The sequence below is a fragment of the Homo sapiens genome, chromosome 19 (genome assembly GCF_000001405.40).
Source record: "Homo sapiens chromosome 19, GRCh38.p14 Primary Assembly".
Classification (NCBI taxonomy): Eukaryota; Metazoa; Chordata; class Mammalia; order Primates; family Hominidae; genus Homo; species Homo sapiens.
The window spans coordinates 51,758,708-51,776,870 of NC_000019.10; the positions used below are offsets into that span (position 1 = coordinate 51,758,708).

At 42.1% G+C, this 18,163-nt stretch overlaps 1 protein-coding gene across 3 annotated transcripts; it reads left to right on the plus strand.

Moving 5' to 3' along the window:
- Positions 1–2,472: 2,472 nt before the first annotated feature.
- On the plus strand, positions 2,473–11,824 carry FPR2 (formyl peptide receptor 2). Of its 3 annotated transcripts, XM_006723120.4 has the most exons (3): positions 2,473–2,523; positions 4,655–4,810; positions 9,938–11,824. In XM_006723120.4, the coding sequence occupies exon 3, from the start codon at positions 9,952–9,954 to the stop codon at positions 11,005–11,007; it is 1,056 nt and encodes a 351-aa protein (XP_006723183.1). In that variant the 5' UTR covers positions 2,473–2,523; positions 4,655–4,810; positions 9,938–9,951; the 3' UTR covers positions 11,008–11,824. The 3 variants fall into 3 exon arrangements, with proteins under 3 accessions (XP_006723183.1, NP_001005738.1, NP_001453.1); NM_001005738.2 differs by lacking the exon at positions 4,655–4,810; NM_001462.3 differs by lacking the exon at positions 2,473–2,523 and having other exon boundaries at positions 4,682–4,810; positions 9,938–11,819.
- Positions 11,825–18,163: the final 6,339 nt, after the last annotated feature.

Sequence of the window (18,163 nt, forward strand, 5' to 3'; positions counted from 1 at the left end):
TTTTCACAACCTACTCATCTGACAAACGGCTAATATCCAGAATCTACAATGAACTCAAACAAATTTACAAGAAAAAAACAAAAAACTCTATCAAAAAGTGGGCAAAGGATATGAACAGACACTTCTCAAAAGAAGACATTTATGCAGCCAAAAGACACATGAAAAAATGCTCATCATCACTGGCCATCAGAGAAATGCAAATCAAAACCACAATGAGATACCATCTCACACCAGTTAGAATGGCAATCATTAAAAAGTCAGGAAAAAACAGGTGCTGGAAAGGGGAGAAATAGGAACACTTTTACACTGTTGGTGGGACTGTAAACTAGTTCAACCATTGTGGAAGTCAGTGTGGTGATTCCTCAGGGATCTAGAACTAGAAATACCATTTGACCCAGCCATCCCATTACTGGGTATATACCCAAAGGACTATAAATCATGCTGCTGTAAAGACACATGCACACGTATGTTTATTGCAGCACTATTCACAATAGCAAAGACTTGGAACCAACCCAAATGTCCAACAATGATAGACTGGATTAAGAAAATGTGGCACATATACACCATGGAATACTATGCAGCCATAAAAAATGATGAGTTCATGTCCTTTGTAGGGACATGGATGAAATTGGAAATCATCATTCTCAGTAAACTATCACAAGGACAAAAAACCAAACACCGCATGTTCTCACTCATAGATGGGAATTGAACAATGAGGAAACATGGACACAGGAAGGGGAACATCACACTCTGGGGACTGTTGTGGGGTGGGGGGAGGGGGGAGGGATAGCATTGGGAGATATACCTAATGCTAAATGACGAGTTAATGGGTGCAGCACACCAGCATGGCACATGTATACATATGTAACTAACCTGCACATTGTGCACATGTACCCTAAAACTTAAAGTATAATAATAAAAATATATATATATATAAGAAAGAAATTTTAAGAAGAAATTCTAAGTTCTTTTTACAGCATTCAAGACCAACCAAGAAATTGCCTCTGCCGCCCTCTACATACTTAATGCTTATTGCTGTCTGCCTTATCATCTATGCTCTGGTAAACAAAAGTAACCTGCTTTTTTGTGACCCCTTTCGTGGGTATTTTTACTCCCCTCTGACAAGAATGCATTATTTTTTCTCCTTTATCTGAGTCTTTAAGACTCAGCCTACATGTTCCCTCCTCCGGATATTGACTCTAGATCCGTGAATCTGAGTTAGTGGTTCCTTTTAGAGGACCTCACAAGGAGCCAGGCATCTGTCTATCACTACGTGCCCCCACCCTATTGTAACTAAGCACTGCATTCTCACCTCTCTATTCAGGTGGTCCGCAGAGCCCATGTCTGATTGATCTCTATGTCTCCAGCAGCCAGCAAGGAAGCACCTCTTTAGAGACCTGCACCTATACAATACCTACCACCTTTTATTTCTCGATATGTGAACTCCATTGAGAACAAACGAGTAAATGTAGGTAATGTGCCTTCTTCTTTTCTTTTCTTTTCTTTTTTTTTTTAGATGGAGTCTCGCTCTGTTGCCCAGGCTGGAGTTTAGTGGCACAATCTCGGCTCACTGTAACCTCCGCCTCCCAGGTTCAAGCGATTCTGCCGCCTCAGCCTACCAAGTAGTTGGGATTACAGGTGCCCACCACCACGCCCAGCTAATTTTTTTTGTATTTTTAGTAGAGGTGGGGTTTCATGATGTTGGCTAGGATGGTTTTCAACTCCTGACCTCAAGTGATCCACCCACCTCGGCCTCCCAAAGTGCTAGGATTACAGGTGTGAGCCACAGCGCCCAGCCAGTAATGTGCCTTCTTAAGTTCTGTGAGCCATTCTAACAAATTATCAGAACAGAGGAAGGGGTTATAAACATCCCCCCACCCCCGATTTATAGCCAGTCAGTCAGAAGTACAGGTGGCCACCTGGGACTTGGATTGGTGTCTGAAGTGAGGACAGTTTTGGGAGAGTGAGCCCTTTAACTTGTGGGATCTGACACTAACTCCAGGTAGACAGCGTCGGAGCTGAATTGAATTGTGAGATACCCAGTGGTGTCCCCAGAGAACTGGAGAATTGCTTGATATGGAAAAGACCCACACATTTGATGCCAGAAGTACTGCATAAGTCGAGAATTGAGTTTGACTTAATCATCATATTTGGGCTTGATTGCGTGGCTGAAACTCTTCCCACTTCAGTAATTGTTTCTTTCATTTTCATGAAACTCTGAAGAAGGAAGGGCTGGACATTCAGATTCCTTGACCCTTGACATTTGGAAGCATGAACTCCAGTCTCTCACAGAAGGCTAGAGGTGAAGGAACATTCAGACACATTGGTTTCTAAGAAGAGTCCGCTGACAACATACCCAAGGTGTCTTCTGAAAATTATAAGAAATCCTGAGTTTCTGTTAGGGGATTGGCTCCAGCTCCATTGTCCCTCCCCCATCATTCAGTAGTCTCCGCGAAAGCCCTTAGAGCCGGTGTTGCTCCACAGGAAGCCAAGAAGCACACAGGAAAAGGAGCTTAGCTGCTGGTAAGTTGGGGACTGACAATTTAAAATTTATCAATGGAACTCCTGCTCTCTGACAAACACCTCCTAAATTCTAGAGCAGTGCTGTAATGGAGCATCCACTTGCCACAGGTGGCTTTTGAGTGCCTATGTTTCTATCTTGATCTGAAATGTGCTTAAGTGTAAAATATACTTAGTGTAGTTTAATCATTAGTATGATCAAAATAATACAATTTATCTCGTTAATAACTTTCATTTTGGTAACGTGTTCCAATGATTTTTTTTATTTGCGGGGTTAAATGAAACATATTATTATAATTAATTTCTCCCAATGATTTTACTTTTTTAACATGGCTACTAGAAAGTTGTAAGTCACGTGTGTGGCTGGCATTTAGGGCTTGCATTACCCTGTCTCTACTAAAAATGCAAACAACAAACTAGCCAGGCGTAGTGGTGGGAGCCTGTAATCCCAGCTACTCAGGAGGCTGAGGCAGGAGAATCGCTTGAACCTAGGAGGCCGAGGTTGCAGTGAGCCGATATCGTGCCATTGCACTCCAGCCTGGGCAAGAAGAGTGAAACTCTAACTCAAAGATAAATAAACATGTGAAGGAGCCAAGTGTGAGGAGCTTAAGAGGAAGAGCATGGTAGGCAGAAGGAACAGAGAAGGCAGAAGCCCCGAGATGACAATGAGCTGCATGTTCAAGGAATCAGAGCCCGTTATGGGTGGAGCCCAGTGTGTCCCACGAGAGTGCAGAGATGAGGTCTGAGGAATGCACAGGGCAGGTCCAGGGGTACTTGAGGGAACTTAAGATAAGGATAAGTTAGAAGTTTGGAAGCCATTAGAAGGTGTTGAAAATAGCATCACCATTTTATTGGACCTTTTTTTTTTTTTTTTTTGAGACAGAATCTTGCTCTGTCGCCCAGGCTGAAGTGCAGTGGCGCAGTCTCGGCTCACTGCAAACTCTGCCTCTCAGGGTCAAGCGATTCTCCTGCCTCAGCCTCCCAAGTAGCTGGGATTACAGGCACCCGCCATCACGCCCAGCTAATTTTTGTGTTTTTTTAGTAGAGACGGGGTTTCATCATGTTGGGCAGGTTGGTCTTGAACTCCTGACCTCAGGTGATCCACCCACCTCAGCCTCCCAAAGTGCTGGGATTACAGGCATGAGCCACTCCCGGCCCTTATTGGACTTTTTTTTTTTTTTTGAGACAGAGTTTTGCTCTTGTTGCCCAGGCTGGAGTGCAATGGCACGATCTCAGCTCACTGCAACCTCCGCCTCCCTGGTTCAAGCGATTCTCCTGCGTCAGCCTCCCGAGCATCTGGAATTACAGGCACGTGCCACCACGCCCAGCTAATTTTGTATTTTTAGTAGAGATGGGGTTTCTTCATGTTGGCCAGGTTGGTCTCGAACTCCTGACCTCTGGTGACCCACCTGCCTCGGCCTCCCAAAGTGCTGGGATTACAGGTGTGAGCCACTGCACCTGGCCCTTATTGAACTTTTTAAAAGCTCATTTGGTTTCCTTCTGGAGATTGGATTGTAGGGCAGGGGAAAGTAGGACCAGGAACAACCTATTTGCAAAGTTGGCGCAAACATTCCTGCCTGACAGGACCATGGACACAGGTTGTAGAGATAGAGATGGCTCTGGCTGTGCATTCAGCAGATTCTGTAGATAGAATTAATAGGACTTGGATGGGATTGTGGTGAGAGAAAGTGAAATGAAAGATAAGTTCTAGTTTGGAAGTTTTAACAACTGAATGTTTAAACTCAAATAGACACAAAATATTGGAAGAGTGGCAGGTTTGGGAGGATGAGACAATCAACTGTTTGGTTGAGCCACGTTAGGTTTGAAATGTCTACGGGACTCCCGTGGGGAGAGGTTATATCAGACTGGAGCACCAGAGAGAGGCCAAGGCTGATAGTTTAGATGAAAAGAGAGCATGATATTTTAAGCCCTGAGACTGGATAATATCACCTATAGAAAGACTATATAGAGATAAGAGAGGTGGGGAACAAGTAAAAGCTGCGGGACACTCCTAAATTTAGAGTCAAATTTAGAGCAGAAAATACTAGCAAAGGGGACTGAAAAGCGGTGGCCAATTGAGCTTCAAATGCAAGTGAAAGTGTGTTGTGTGTACATTTATCATCTCATGGCACAGGAAAAACGTGATTTAAGGAGAAGGAAGCGATCCAATGGGAAGAAGAGATCCAATGGATCCTCTATCACGAAGATATTGAGATAAGAACCAATATGGATTTGCACCCACTGCATTTGCAGCCTTGAGGTCATAAGCATCCTCAGGAAAATGCACCAGGTCAGTGCTAAGGACTGGAGTCAATACAGACTGGATTCAGGAGAAAAAGTGAGGCAGGGAATCAAAGGGAGCAAACACAGAAAACTCCTTCCAAAATCTGGCTGCAAATTCTTTTCATAGAAAGAATTCTCTCAGGAGAAATAGGGTTAACACCAGAAAGGAATATAGTCCAAGATCTTTTTGGTTGTTTTTTGTTTTGTTTTTTGGGGTGGTTTTTATTTTGTTTTTGTTTAGTTTTGTTGTTGTTTGTTTGTTTGTTTTTGAGACGGAGTCACTGTTGCCCAGGCTGGAGTGCAGTGGTGCGATCTCAGCTCACTGCAACCTCCGCCTTCCGGTGTTCAAGAGGTCTTCCTGCCTCAGCTTCCCAAGTAGCTGGGATTGCAAGCGCGTGCCATCACGTCCAGCTAATTTTTGTATTTTTAGTAGAGATGAGGTTTCACCATGTTGGCCAGTCTGGTCTCAAACTCCTGGCCTCAAGTGATCCACTTGCCTCAGCTTCCCTAAATGTTGGGATTACAGGTGTGAGCCACGGCACCTGGCCAAGGATGGTTTCTTTTTAAAGGGAGGGGATATGATTTATGTAATGTTTATGTAATAGTGAGAATGATCTAGTAGAAATAAAATCTTGAGGGTTTGTTTTTGGCAGAAAATGGAAGGACAAATGCAGGGGGAAAGTTTGTGGGAAGATGAGAGGGCATCCTGGGCCAATGCAGGGAGGGAAATTATTGGAAAGAACAAGAAGTCTTTATTCACAGTGACAGAGGCAGGTAGACTGAGGGTCAGGGGAGGACCGGCTGAAAATTTCACATCTAGTTATTACCATTTTCTCATTATAATGTCAGTCAAGGGCATCTGCTGAGAGTGGGAAAAACAGAGTAAATGAGGTACTTTTTGGAGAAAGCAGGACTGAAATAATTAAGGTGTGGGATAGCGAGTGCGCTGGAGAAGTAGAGTAACCTAATGAGGAACTGCTGAGTTTTCATTTGAAATCTGTGGTCATAAATTCAATTGCAACCCTCGATAATTGTGAAAGTCACTTCCGCTCTCTGAGCCGTACTTTCCTACCTGTTACACAAGGACAGCACTTGTCCCAAAGCAAGGGTATTGTAATCAGAGATGATAAAATATATAGTGACTGGCACATATTAAGGACTCACCAAATAGCAGACCTCATAATCAGTACAGGTATCATCTGTGGTTCGCAGTTCTCCTCCTTACATTACAACTAGGGTGGACCCAAAACTTTGCAATTTTTGCCTTGTTAATTTGTCCTCACCTGTCATTGCACAATCATCCTTCCTTGTTGCATCAACATTTTTTTTTTTCTGAGACAGAGTCTCGCTCTTTCACCCAGGCTGGAGTGCTGTGGCACGATCTTGGCTCACTGCAACCTCTGCCTCCCAGACTCAAGTGATTCTCCTGCCTCAGCCTCCCAAGTAACTGGGATTACAGGCACCCACCACCATGCCCAGCTAATTTTTGTATTTTTAGTAGAGACAGGGTTTCACCATGTTGGCCAGGCTGGTTTCAAATTCCTGGCCTCAAGTGATCCACCTGTCTTGGCCTCCCAAAGTGCTAGGATTACAGGCGTGAGCCACTGCGCCCAGCCTGTATCAACATTTTAAAATGAATTTGAAATTATGGATAGATCATGTCTTCTAAGTGTCTTGTAGAATGTTTGGAGTGTGGATAGAGAAAATCTGAGTCTGTTGAGGAACTATGGGGTGGAAAAGGGTTAACAGCACAATTCTGTTGTAATCAATCTGGCTGAGCTCCAATTCTGTCTCTACTCTTTCTACCTGGTAACGTTGAACAATTAACGCAGCCCATCTAAGTCTTAACTTCCTCATCTGTACAATGGTTATACTAATTATCAGGCTGCTGCAAAAGTACTTGTGGTTTTTGATATTATTTTCAATGGCAAAAACAGCGTTACTTTTGCACCAACCTAATATCACTAAGATTAATCAATATTCACTGTGTCTCAGGAGTGCTCAGTGTTCACACATATTAACACAGCCCATCCACAGATCCTGTGAGAGGCGTTGATAGGGTTAAAGGAAAAGCTCTTGGTGTGTGGGTAATGTTCATAAGTAGAAACAACTATTGCTATGAGCATCGTTCTTGTCCTGACCTTGAACTTCATAATGGATTGAGCCCCACGACACAGCACACAGCCTGGTGAGGGCCAAGAGTTCCCATTTGTCATAGATATACTCAGTCTAGCCTAAAAGATTTCCACATCTATTCTCACTTAATCCTCACCTGAAAGTTAGACTTCACCATAAAATTGTCCTCGTTCTGCAGAGCAGAAAACTGAGGCTCAAAGAGATATCACTGACTAAAAACTCATAGTGAGGAGACATCACAGATGAGATTAGAAGAGAGATGTAGCTGACTTCAGAGCCCAGTATATATATATATTTTAGACAGAGTCTCGCTCTGTCCCCCAGGCTGGAGTGCAGTGGCACGGCTCACTGCAACCTCCGCCTCCCGGGTTCAAGCGATTCTCCTGCCTCAGCCTCCCGAGTAGCTGGGACTGCAAGTGCATGCCACCAGGCCCGGCTAATTTTTTGTATTTTCGGTAGAGACGGGGCTTCACCGTATTGCCCAGGGTGGTCTGGAACTCCTGACCTCAGGCAATCCACCCCCCTTGGCCTCCCAAAGTGTTGGGATTACAGGCGTGAGCCACCGTATCTGGCTGAGCCCAGTATTCTTTGTAACAGTGACTCTCAATTGGGGGTGACTTTGCCTCCGAGGGGACCTTTGACAATGTTTATGGAACCTGTTGATTGTCATTTCTGGAGAAGGAGTTGCTACTGGTGTCTGTGGATAGAGGCCAGGGGGGCTGCTCAACATCCTACTGTGTCCAGAACAGTCTGCCACAACGAAGAATTACCCAGACCCAGATGTCAAAGGTGCCAAGGTTGAGAAACCCTGAGCTACATTAAATAACGTCCCATGGAATACCTCAGTGAAACTCACTGGTAATAGCAGGAAGAAAAGGAGGAAATAAGGAAAAGGAAGAAGGCTAAAAATCACCAGACTGAGGCATAGCCCTATCCTAGTAATCTTGGGGGAATCCCTTTCAAAGGCAGGACTTCCGTATGCAAAGGCAGTGGCTCTGGAGTTGTTCATCTCGGTTTCCGTATCTTGCTGCCTCCACTGACTGGCTGGGCATGATGTTGAAAAAAACTACAGAAGTCCCCGGGCCATGAATTCCCCCAGATGTGATGGCTGTTTCCCAATGTTATTATGAGCATTAGATGTGAACAAGTGCTATGGAATTGCTATTTCTCTTAAAGATGCTGAATAGCCCAGTCTGAGATGATTCTCAAATTCTCATGGCCATAGCAAATCATCCTGGCTTTTACACATACAGATTCTAGAATGAGATTTATGGATATAATTGTTTTTCATTTTTATTATAAGTTCAGGGGTATATGTGCAGGTTTGTTATACAGGTAAACTTGTATCCTGGTGTTTTCTTGTACAGATTATTTCATCACTGAGATATTAAGCCTAATACCCACTACTTATTTTTCCTGATCCTGTCCCTCCCCTCACCCTCCACCTTCCGGTAGGCCCCAGTGTTCCCCTCTTTGTGTCCATGTGTTCTCATCATTTACCTCCCATTTGTAAATGAGAACATGTGGTATTTGGTTTTCTGTTCCTGCATTAGTTTGCTAAGGATAATGAATACAATTTTAACAGGCAGCCTGGATGTTTCTGATAAAGTCCACAGACCACGGCATAAGAAAATGTGCTCAGGTGACGTGGGACTTTGTGTTGAACTGGATACAAATATTACAGATGTGATCCGGACCAGAGGCAGGGACTACATGTTTTGGGTTTTTGTTCTTAAAAGAAAAAAACAAAAACAAAAAAACTTGATCTGAGAAGCTCTGAAGGGTCATATTCTTACAATGTTATTGTCCACAATTTAGTCACGTGTCCACTACCAAAGCAATCCCTTGCAAAGTAAAAGGGATTCTGGTTAGTGCTAATTAGACTAGTCAGGATTTACTCCCAACATGGAGAAAAGACACCTTCTCTGCAGGGTGAGTAACTAAACACAATTGTGGTTTTTCAAGCAGAGAAGAATGGGGAACCGTTGCTGGGTGGGCAACCAGCAATATCTGTCAAGCGTAAGGGTTTAGAAGTCAGACCATGCCAAACTGAAGTCCTGAATCTATTATCTACTACCTAAGTGACCTTCAACACATTTCACAATTGCCCTGAGCTTTCATTTATTCTAATGAAAACTAGAAGTAATGAATATTACATAGCTATTACATAGGCCAAACCGGATCCCATATGTAGTAATTAACACAATGCATAGTCTCTAATAAGAACTTCACAAGTATTAATACAACTTATTATTCTTATAGTCTTTATCCCACAGACACCAAAGCTATACAAATCGGCACTGATTATTTGCATTCCAAACAGAGAAGAGCTCCACATCAAGCAGGGACAGGGAAAAGCAGAGGGTAGAAAGCAGAGATGGAACTCTCTTTGCTGACTTCCTCTAGTGCAGAATCCTCAGGATATAACATACTACTACATGTTACCAGTGACTCCTCAAAATTCTCTTCAACAATAACCTCAAGCCAAACCCTCAAACTTTATCTTGAGTACTAGCCAAGCAATAGGTCAAGGGTTCTCACAGTTTGAGGGACAGGAGTTGGGAGACTGGAAGAACCTGGGGCTGAAAGAGATTGCAGAGCTTGCCAGCATGTTTGCATTGAATGGTGGGAGACACAGATGTGAGCCTTCTGATTCTGAGTCATGTGCCTTCCTCACAATGCTGAGGCTGCCTATGCTCAATTTTCCATTGTCCATACAACATAAGTTCAGTATGAGCCTTGTAATCCTCTTGGTGAAGTGATCAGCCCGATAAGCGAAATGCATATTGATAATGATGGGAATATGGAGGACTATCCCTTCCCAAAGGAGCATCCAAGAGAATGCCAATTCTATAGCACCGTTGTCAACAAGGCTTGGTAGATAGAGTGGGTCTCCTGGTAGGAGTGGGAGCTTTAGTGGAAGTTGATGTGAGCTATAAATACAGATGCTGTAAGATGGTTCCACAGCTGAGAAATGGCCATTGTTGGAATGTTTCAGGTGCTGCTGGCAAGATGGAAACCAACTTCTCCACTCCTCTGAATGAATATGAAGAAGTGTCCTATGAGTCTGCTGGCTACACTGTTCTGCGGATCCTCCCATTGGTGGTGCTTGGGGTCACCTTTGTCCTCGGGGTCCTGGGCAATGGGCTTGTGATCTGGGTGGCTGGATTCCGGATGACACGCACAGTCACCACCATCTGTTACCTGAACCTGGCCCTGGCTGACTTTTCTTTCACGGCCACATTACCATTCCTCATTGTCTCCATGGCCATGGGAGAAAAATGGCCTTTTGGCTGGTTCCTGTGTAAGTTAATTCACATCGTGGTGGACATCAACCTCTTTGGAAGTGTCTTCTTGATTGGTTTCATTGCACTGGACCGCTGCATTTGTGTCCTGCATCCAGTCTGGGCCCAGAACCACCGCACTGTGAGTCTGGCCATGAAGGTGATCGTCGGACCTTGGATTCTTGCTCTAGTCCTTACCTTGCCAGTTTTCCTCTTTTTGACTACAGTAACTATTCCAAATGGGGACACATACTGTACTTTCAACTTTGCATCCTGGGGTGGCACCCCTGAGGAGAGGCTGAAGGTGGCCATTACCATGCTGACAGCCAGAGGGATTATCCGGTTTGTCATTGGCTTTAGCTTGCCGATGTCCATTGTTGCCATCTGCTATGGGCTCATTGCAGCCAAGATCCACAAAAAGGGCATGATTAAATCCAGCCGTCCCTTACGGGTCCTCACTGCTGTGGTGGCTTCTTTCTTCATCTGTTGGTTTCCCTTTCAACTGGTTGCCCTTCTGGGCACCGTCTGGCTCAAAGAGATGTTGTTCTATGGCAAGTACAAAATCATTGACATCCTGGTTAACCCAACGAGCTCCCTGGCCTTCTTCAACAGCTGCCTCAACCCCATGCTTTACGTCTTTGTGGGCCAAGACTTCCGAGAGAGACTGATCCACTCCCTGCCCACCAGTCTGGAGAGGGCCCTGTCTGAGGACTCAGCCCCAACTAATGACACGGCTGCCAATTCTGCTTCACCTCCTGCAGAGACTGAGTTACAGGCAATGTGAGGATGGGGTCAGGGATATTTTGAGTTCTGTTCATCCTACCCTAATGCCAGTTCCAGCTTCATCTACCCTTGAGTCATATTGAGGCATTCAAGGATGCACAGCTCAAGTATTTATTCAGGAAAAATGCTTTTGTGTCCCTGATTTGGGGCTAAGAAATAGACAGTCAGGCTACTAAAATATTAGTGTTATTTTTTGTTTTTTGACTTCTGCCTATACCCTGGGGTAAGTGGAGTTGGGAAATACAAGAAGAGAAAGACCAGTGGGGATTTGTAAGACTTAGATGAGATAGCGCATAATAAGGGGAAGACTTTAAAGTATAAAGTAAAATGTTTGCTGTAGGTTTTTTATAGCTATTAAAAAAAATCAGATTATGGAAGTTTTCTTCTATTTTTAGTTTGCTAAGAGTTTTCTGTTTCTTTTTCTTACATCATGAGTGGACTTTGCATTTTATCAAATGCATTTTCTACATGTATTAAGATGGTCATATTATTCTTCTTCTTTTATGTAAATCATTATAAATAATGTTCATTAAGTTCTGAATGTTAAACTACTCTTGAATTCCTGGAATAAACCACACTTAGTCCTGATGTACTTTAAATATTTATATCTCACAGGAGTTGGTTAGAATTTCTGTGTTTATGTTTATATACTGTTATTTCACTTTTTCTACTATCCTTGCTAAGTTTTCATAGAAAATAAGGAACAAAGAGAAACTTGTAATGGTCTCTGAAAAGGAATTGAGAAGTAATTCCTCTGATTCTGTTTTCTGGTGTTATATCTTTATTAAATATTCAGAAAAATTCACCAGTGAAGCCAACTTGGTCTTGTGTTTTCTTTCTGGGAAGATTTTTAATAACAAGTTTGTTTTCTTTAACAGTGATTAGACTCTTCTGTTTTTTGGTTTTTTGTTTTTTCCTATCTGTCAGTTTTGGTAAACTGAATTTCAAGGAGTTTGGCCATTTCATTCAAACTGTCAAACTCATCGGCATAAAATAGTATAATAACTGTTTAAAAGTTATAAAACAGCATGAAACTTGGCTGGGTGCGGTGGCTCATGCCTGTAATCCAAGCACTTTGGGAGGCCAAGAAGGGTGGATCACCTGAGGTCAGGAGTTTGAGACCAGCCTGGCCAACATGGTAAAACCCCATCTCTACTTAAAATACAAAAATTAGCTGGGCATGGTGGTGCACACCTGTAATCCCAGCTACTTAGGAGGCTGAGGCAGGAGAATTGCTTGAACCCGGGAGGTGGAGGTTGCAGTGAGCCAAGACTGTGCCATTGCACTCCAGCCTAGGGGACAAGAGTGAGACTTTGTCTGAAAAAAAAAAAGTATGAAACTTGAAATGCTTTCTTTTATGTATTTATTAATTTCTGATTTTTGTTCTTCTTGTTGTTATTATCCTAGAGCACAGCCTTTGGAGATACAGTTTCTTTTAAACAACGAAAATGTAAGCTCTCTGAAGTCAGGGATTTTGGTCTGTATGGTTTGCTGATTGAACCCCATCCTCTATGTGTAAAATACTGTCTGATATGTAATAGACATTCATTAAATACTCATTGAATAAATGAATCAATAAACAATAGTATCACCTAGGTGTCAAGTGAGAAGTTTTAATGTCAAATCAAAATTATCTCCAACCCTTATTACATGAACCAGACCATGTCCAGTAAACACCCATCCTCAAGCACACAATATTTAGAAATACTCATGTGGCTTACTTTTTCATCAATTTCTGGTTTTGAGCTTCTGCTTTAAGGAAAGTACCATGGCTAACTGTTGCCTCACGCCTTTGTTTTGAAATAAATCAACCCACAAAGGTACTCAGCCCTTTACTTTGCTTACAGGAAATGACCACTCAGAAATGGTCCTTCGGTGCGGAACATACTTTCCGGATGCACTGGCAAAAGACAGAACTCTACACGAATATGAGGCAGTCCTGTTATCAGCGTCCTCACTCACTCCACCGCTTCTCCCTTTCCCTCCTGTTTCCCCTAAAGTTATTTACATTTCCAACATTTCCAAAACAGAGAAGTTTACTTAGTTCATTTGCATTCTTGACTCCTATAAATGCTTTCCAGTTCCTAAGAAAAGTATACCCTTTAATGCCCGACTAAGTTGTGGCCATAGAAAATAAGGAACAAAGAGAAAACGCAAGAAGGAGAAACCTGGAGCCAAGAACAGCATATGACCTTGAAACAGGAGAACCACGGCTTCTAGACTGGCTAGTTAACAGCCTTCCTCCACTGCCAGGACAGAGGAGTCTTACTTTCCTTCCCACTGGCCTTGGTTAATTGCACTGGAACAGTGCCTGCTGCATCCTCCCCATTTTTCTTTTCTTCATTGGAAGTTGCCATTGTGGATTCTCAGTTCCAATTGCACCCTTGTGTACTGGGGTCTTCAGAAGCTGAGGATTCTTGGTGTTTATGGGACATTCACCACCAATAAACATTTCTAGACTTGCTCGAATCTGGAAGTCCAAAATAAAACTCTGGGGATAGTGTCCATGGGAAGAACAGGACCACTTTTTCTGTTTGGGGAGAAGAGTGTAGAGACTGTTGAGTACCCAAAGGCGTAAGCTCCCCTGGAGACTGCCAGCTGCCTACCCAATATTCTTCCCCCTACTTTATTAACAAATGTGGGCAGCAATTCATTCAGCTAAAATAATCCTTTTCTCAGTCATCCTTCCAGCTAGGTGTGGGTAAATTCTAGGCAGTAAGATACAAAAATAGTATCACATTAGTACATAAGGGGCTGCCTCATTATTTTATTAACATAGTGTTTATTGATTGATTGATTGATTGATTGAGACAGGTTTTCACTCTGTCACCCAGGCTGGAGTGCAGTGGCACTAATCACGGCTCATTGCAGCCTTGACTTCCCAGGCTTAGGTGGTTCTCCCACCTCAGCCTCTTGAGTAGCTGAGACTGCAGGCTTGTGCCATCATGCCCAGCTAATTTTTGTATTTTTTGTAAAGACAGGGTTTCACCAAGTTGCCCAGGCTGGTCTTGAACTCCTGAGCTCAAGCAATGCTCCTGCCTTACCCTCCTAAAGTGCTGGGATTATAGGCATGAGCCACTGTACGTGGCCTAGAGTTTATTTTTTAGGGCAATTTTAGATTCATAGCAAATTGGGAAGAAAATACAGAGATTTCCCATAAACCCACTGCCCCTACACATGCACAACCCCTCTCATTATCAACATCCCCGACCACAGTAATATATTTCTTACAGTTGATAGACCTACGCAGATACATCATTAATCCAAAGCCCACAGTTTACATTAGGGTTCATTCTTGGTGTTTTACTTTCAGCGGGTGATATGGTTAGGCTTTGTGTCCCCACCCAGATCTCACCTTGAATTGTAATCCCCATAATCCCCACGTGTCAAGGGAGACACCAGGTGGCGGTAATTGAATCACGGGGGCAGTTCCATGATGGTCTTGTGGTAGTGAGTGAGTTCTCATGAGATCTTGATGGTTTCATAAGCGGCTCTTCCCCCTTCACTGGGCACTTCTCCTTCCTGCTGTCTTGTGAAGAAGGTGGCTTGTTTCCCCTTCCCCTTCTGCCATGATTGTAAAAGTTTCCCGTGGCTTCCCCAGCCATGCTGAACTCTGAGTCAATTAAACCTCTTTCCTTTATAAATTACCCAGTCTCAGGCAGTTCTTTACAGCAGTATGAAAACAGACTGTCCAGGTACGGTGGCTCATGCCTGTAATCCCAGCACTTTGGGGGGCCGAGATGGGCGGATCACAAAGTCAGGAGATCGAGACCATCCTGGCTAACACGGTGAAACCCCGTCTCTACTAAAAATACAAAAAATGAGCCGGGCGTGGTGGCGGGCACCTGTAGTCCCAGCTACTCGGGAGGCTGAGGCAGGAAAATGGCGCGAACCCGGGAGGCGGAGCTTGCAGTGAGCCGAGATCGCGCCACTGCACTCCAGCCTGGGCGACAGTGGGAGACTCCATCTCAAAAAAAAAAGAAAAAAGAAAACAGACTAATACAGTGGGTTTGGACAAAAGTATAATGACTTGTATTCACCATTACAGTATCATACAGACTCGTTTCATTGCCCTAAAAATTTTCTATGCCCTGCCTATTCACCCCTACCTCCTCCCTATCCCCTGGAAACCACTGATATTTTCATTGTCTTTATAGTTTTTTCCTGTTCCAGGATGTCATATAGTAGAAATCATGAAGTATGTAGCCTTTTACGATTGGCATCTGTCATTTAGTAGGATGCATTTAAAGTTTCCTCCATGTCTTTTCATAGACTGATAGCTCATTACTTTTTAGCATTGAATAATGTCCACTGTCTGGATGTACCATCATTTATTTATCCATTCACCTACTGAAAAACATCTTGGTTGCTTCCCAATTGGACAATTATAAATAAAGCTGCTATAAACATCCATGTGCAGGTTTTTGTGTGGACAGAAGTTTATAACTTGTTTGGATAAATACCAAAGAACATGATTGCTGGATTGTATGGTAAGCATATGTTTAGTTGCATGGGAAACTGCCAAACTCTCTTCCAAGGTGGCTGTATCATTTTGCATTCCCACCAATAATGAATGAGGATGTTCCATGTCTTTGCCAGCATTTGGTTGTGTCAGTGTTCTGGATTTTGGCCATTTCTAATAGGTGTAGGGTGGTATCTCACTGTTTTAACTTGCATTTCCCTGATGATATATGATGTGTATCACCCTCTCATATGTTAACCTGGCATCTGTATATCTTCTTTCTTGAGGTGCCTGTTAAGGGCTTGGCCCATTTTTAAAATGGGCTTTCTGTGTCCTTATTGTTGAGTTTTAGGAGTTCTTTGAATATTTTGGATAACAGTCCTTTATCTGATATGTCTCCTGCAACACTCTCCCATAGAGCAGATTTTTTTTTTTTTTAGATTTTTTTTTTTTTGAGACAGAGTCTCACTCTGTCACCCACACTGGAGTGCAGTGGCACCATCACAGCTCACAGCAGCCTCAACCTCACGGACTCAAGTGATCCCCCCACTTCATCCTCCCAAGTAGCTAGGACTGCAGGTATGCACCACTATGCCCAGCTAATCATTTATTTTCTGTAGAAATGGGGGTCTCACTTTGTTGCCTAGGCTGGTCTCAAATTCCTGGGCTCAAGTGATCCTCCCACCTCAGCCTCCCAAAGTGCTGGGATTACAGGTGTGAGCCACCATGCCCAGCCAGAAATTTTCAATTTTAATAAGAATTGCCTTCTTGATTCTTTCTTTCACGGATTATATCTTTTGTTTTGTAATTACAAAGTCATTGTCAAACCAAACGTCATCTAGATTTTCTCCTATGTTATCTTCTAGGTGTTTTATAGTTTTGTCTTTTACATTTAGGTCTGCGATCCATTTTAAGTTAATTTTAGCAAAGCATGTAAGGTCTGTTTCTAAAGTTACTTTTTTGCACATGGATGTCTAGTCATTCCAGAACCATTTGTTGAAAAGACTATCTTTTCTCCATTGAATTGCCTTTGCTCCTTTGATAAAGATCACTTGACAATATTAATGTGAGTCTATTTCTGGGCTCTCTTATTCAGTTCCATTGATCTATTTGTCTGTTCTTTTGCCTGTAGTACACTGTCTTGGTTACTGTAGCTTTACAGTATGTCTTGAAATCAGATGGTGTCAGTCCTCCAACTTTGCTCTTCTTGTTCAATATTATGTTGGCTATACTGGGTCTTTTCCCTGTCCATGTAAACTTTAGAATCAGTTTGTTATATCCACAGAATAAATTGCTGGAATTTTTATTGGGATTGTACTGAATCCAAAGATCAAATTGAGGAAAACTGACATCTTGACAATCTTGAATCTTCCTAGCCCTGTACATGGACTATCTCTCAATTTCTTCAGTTCTTCTATAATTTCTTTCATCAGAGTGTTGTAGTTTTTCTCATATAGATCTTGTACATATTTTGTTAGATTTTTACTCAGTGTTTCATTTCTGAGGGACATAATGTAAATAGTATTGTGTTTTTAATTTCAAATTCCATTTGCTCACTGTTGGTATCTAGGAAAGTGATTGATTTTTTTGTACTCTGCAACCCTGCTATAATCACTTATTACTTCCAGGAATGTTTGTTATCCAATCTTTTGGATTTTCTGCATAGATGATCATGTCAGTTGTGAACAAAATAGTTTTTTTTTCTTCCTTTCCAATATGCATACCTTTTTAGTTTGTTTTTAATTGAATTAGCTAAGACTTCAGCAATGCTGAAAACCAATATGAGAGAAGACGTCCTTGCCTTGTTCCTGGCCTTACTGGGAAAGCGTCAAGTTTCCCACTGTTAAGTATAATGTTAGCTGTAGGATTTTTTGTAGGCATTGTTTATCAGATTGAGGAAGTTCCTCTTTATTCCCAGGTTACTGAGCATTTTTAAAAATTATGAATGAGTGTTGAATTTTGTCAAATACTTTTTCTGCTTCTACTGATATAACTATGTGGTTTTTTCATTAGTCTGTTGATGTAATTGATTACATTAATTAATTTTTGAAATTTGAACTAGACTTGCATACCTGGCATGAATAATTTTTATACTTTGTTTTATACATTACATTATAGTAGTTTAGACATTTTTGGGTTTGATTTCCTAATATGTTTTTGAGAATTTTTGCATCTATGTTCATGAGAGTTATTGGTCTGTAGTTTTGTTTTCTTGTAATGTCTTTAAATGGATTTGGTTATTAGGGTGATCGTGGATTTATCATGAGTTAGAAAGTCCTCCTTCTGTGTCTGTATTCTCAAAGTTCCTCATTCTTTTTAATTTTTGCATTGTATTTTATTGGATGAATGTAACAAAATTTAATCTGACCAAATTGCTTTTGATCTTTTGCTCATTACAAAAAAAAAGCTACAATGAATACCTGTGCACACACACATTCCTTTGCATGACTGTGTGTTTGTCTATAGAAAAAAATTACAATAGTTTGTAACCTAAGTGTCTATCAACAGATGAATGAACAAAAAAAAATTGTTCATATACATAATGGAGTACTATTCTGCCATGAAAAATAATGAGACTCTGTCATTTGCAACAACATGGATGGAACTGGAGGTCATTATGTTAAGTGAAATGGATCAGGCACAGAAAGACAAACTTTGTATGTTCTCACTTATTTGTGGGAGCTAAAAATCAAAA

Bases quoted from the DNA above. Each gene is read 5' to 3' on its own strand.
- FPR2 (XM_006723120.4), top strand. From the start codon at position 9,952: ATGGAAACCAACTTCTCCACTCCTCTGAATGAATATGAAGAAGTGTCC.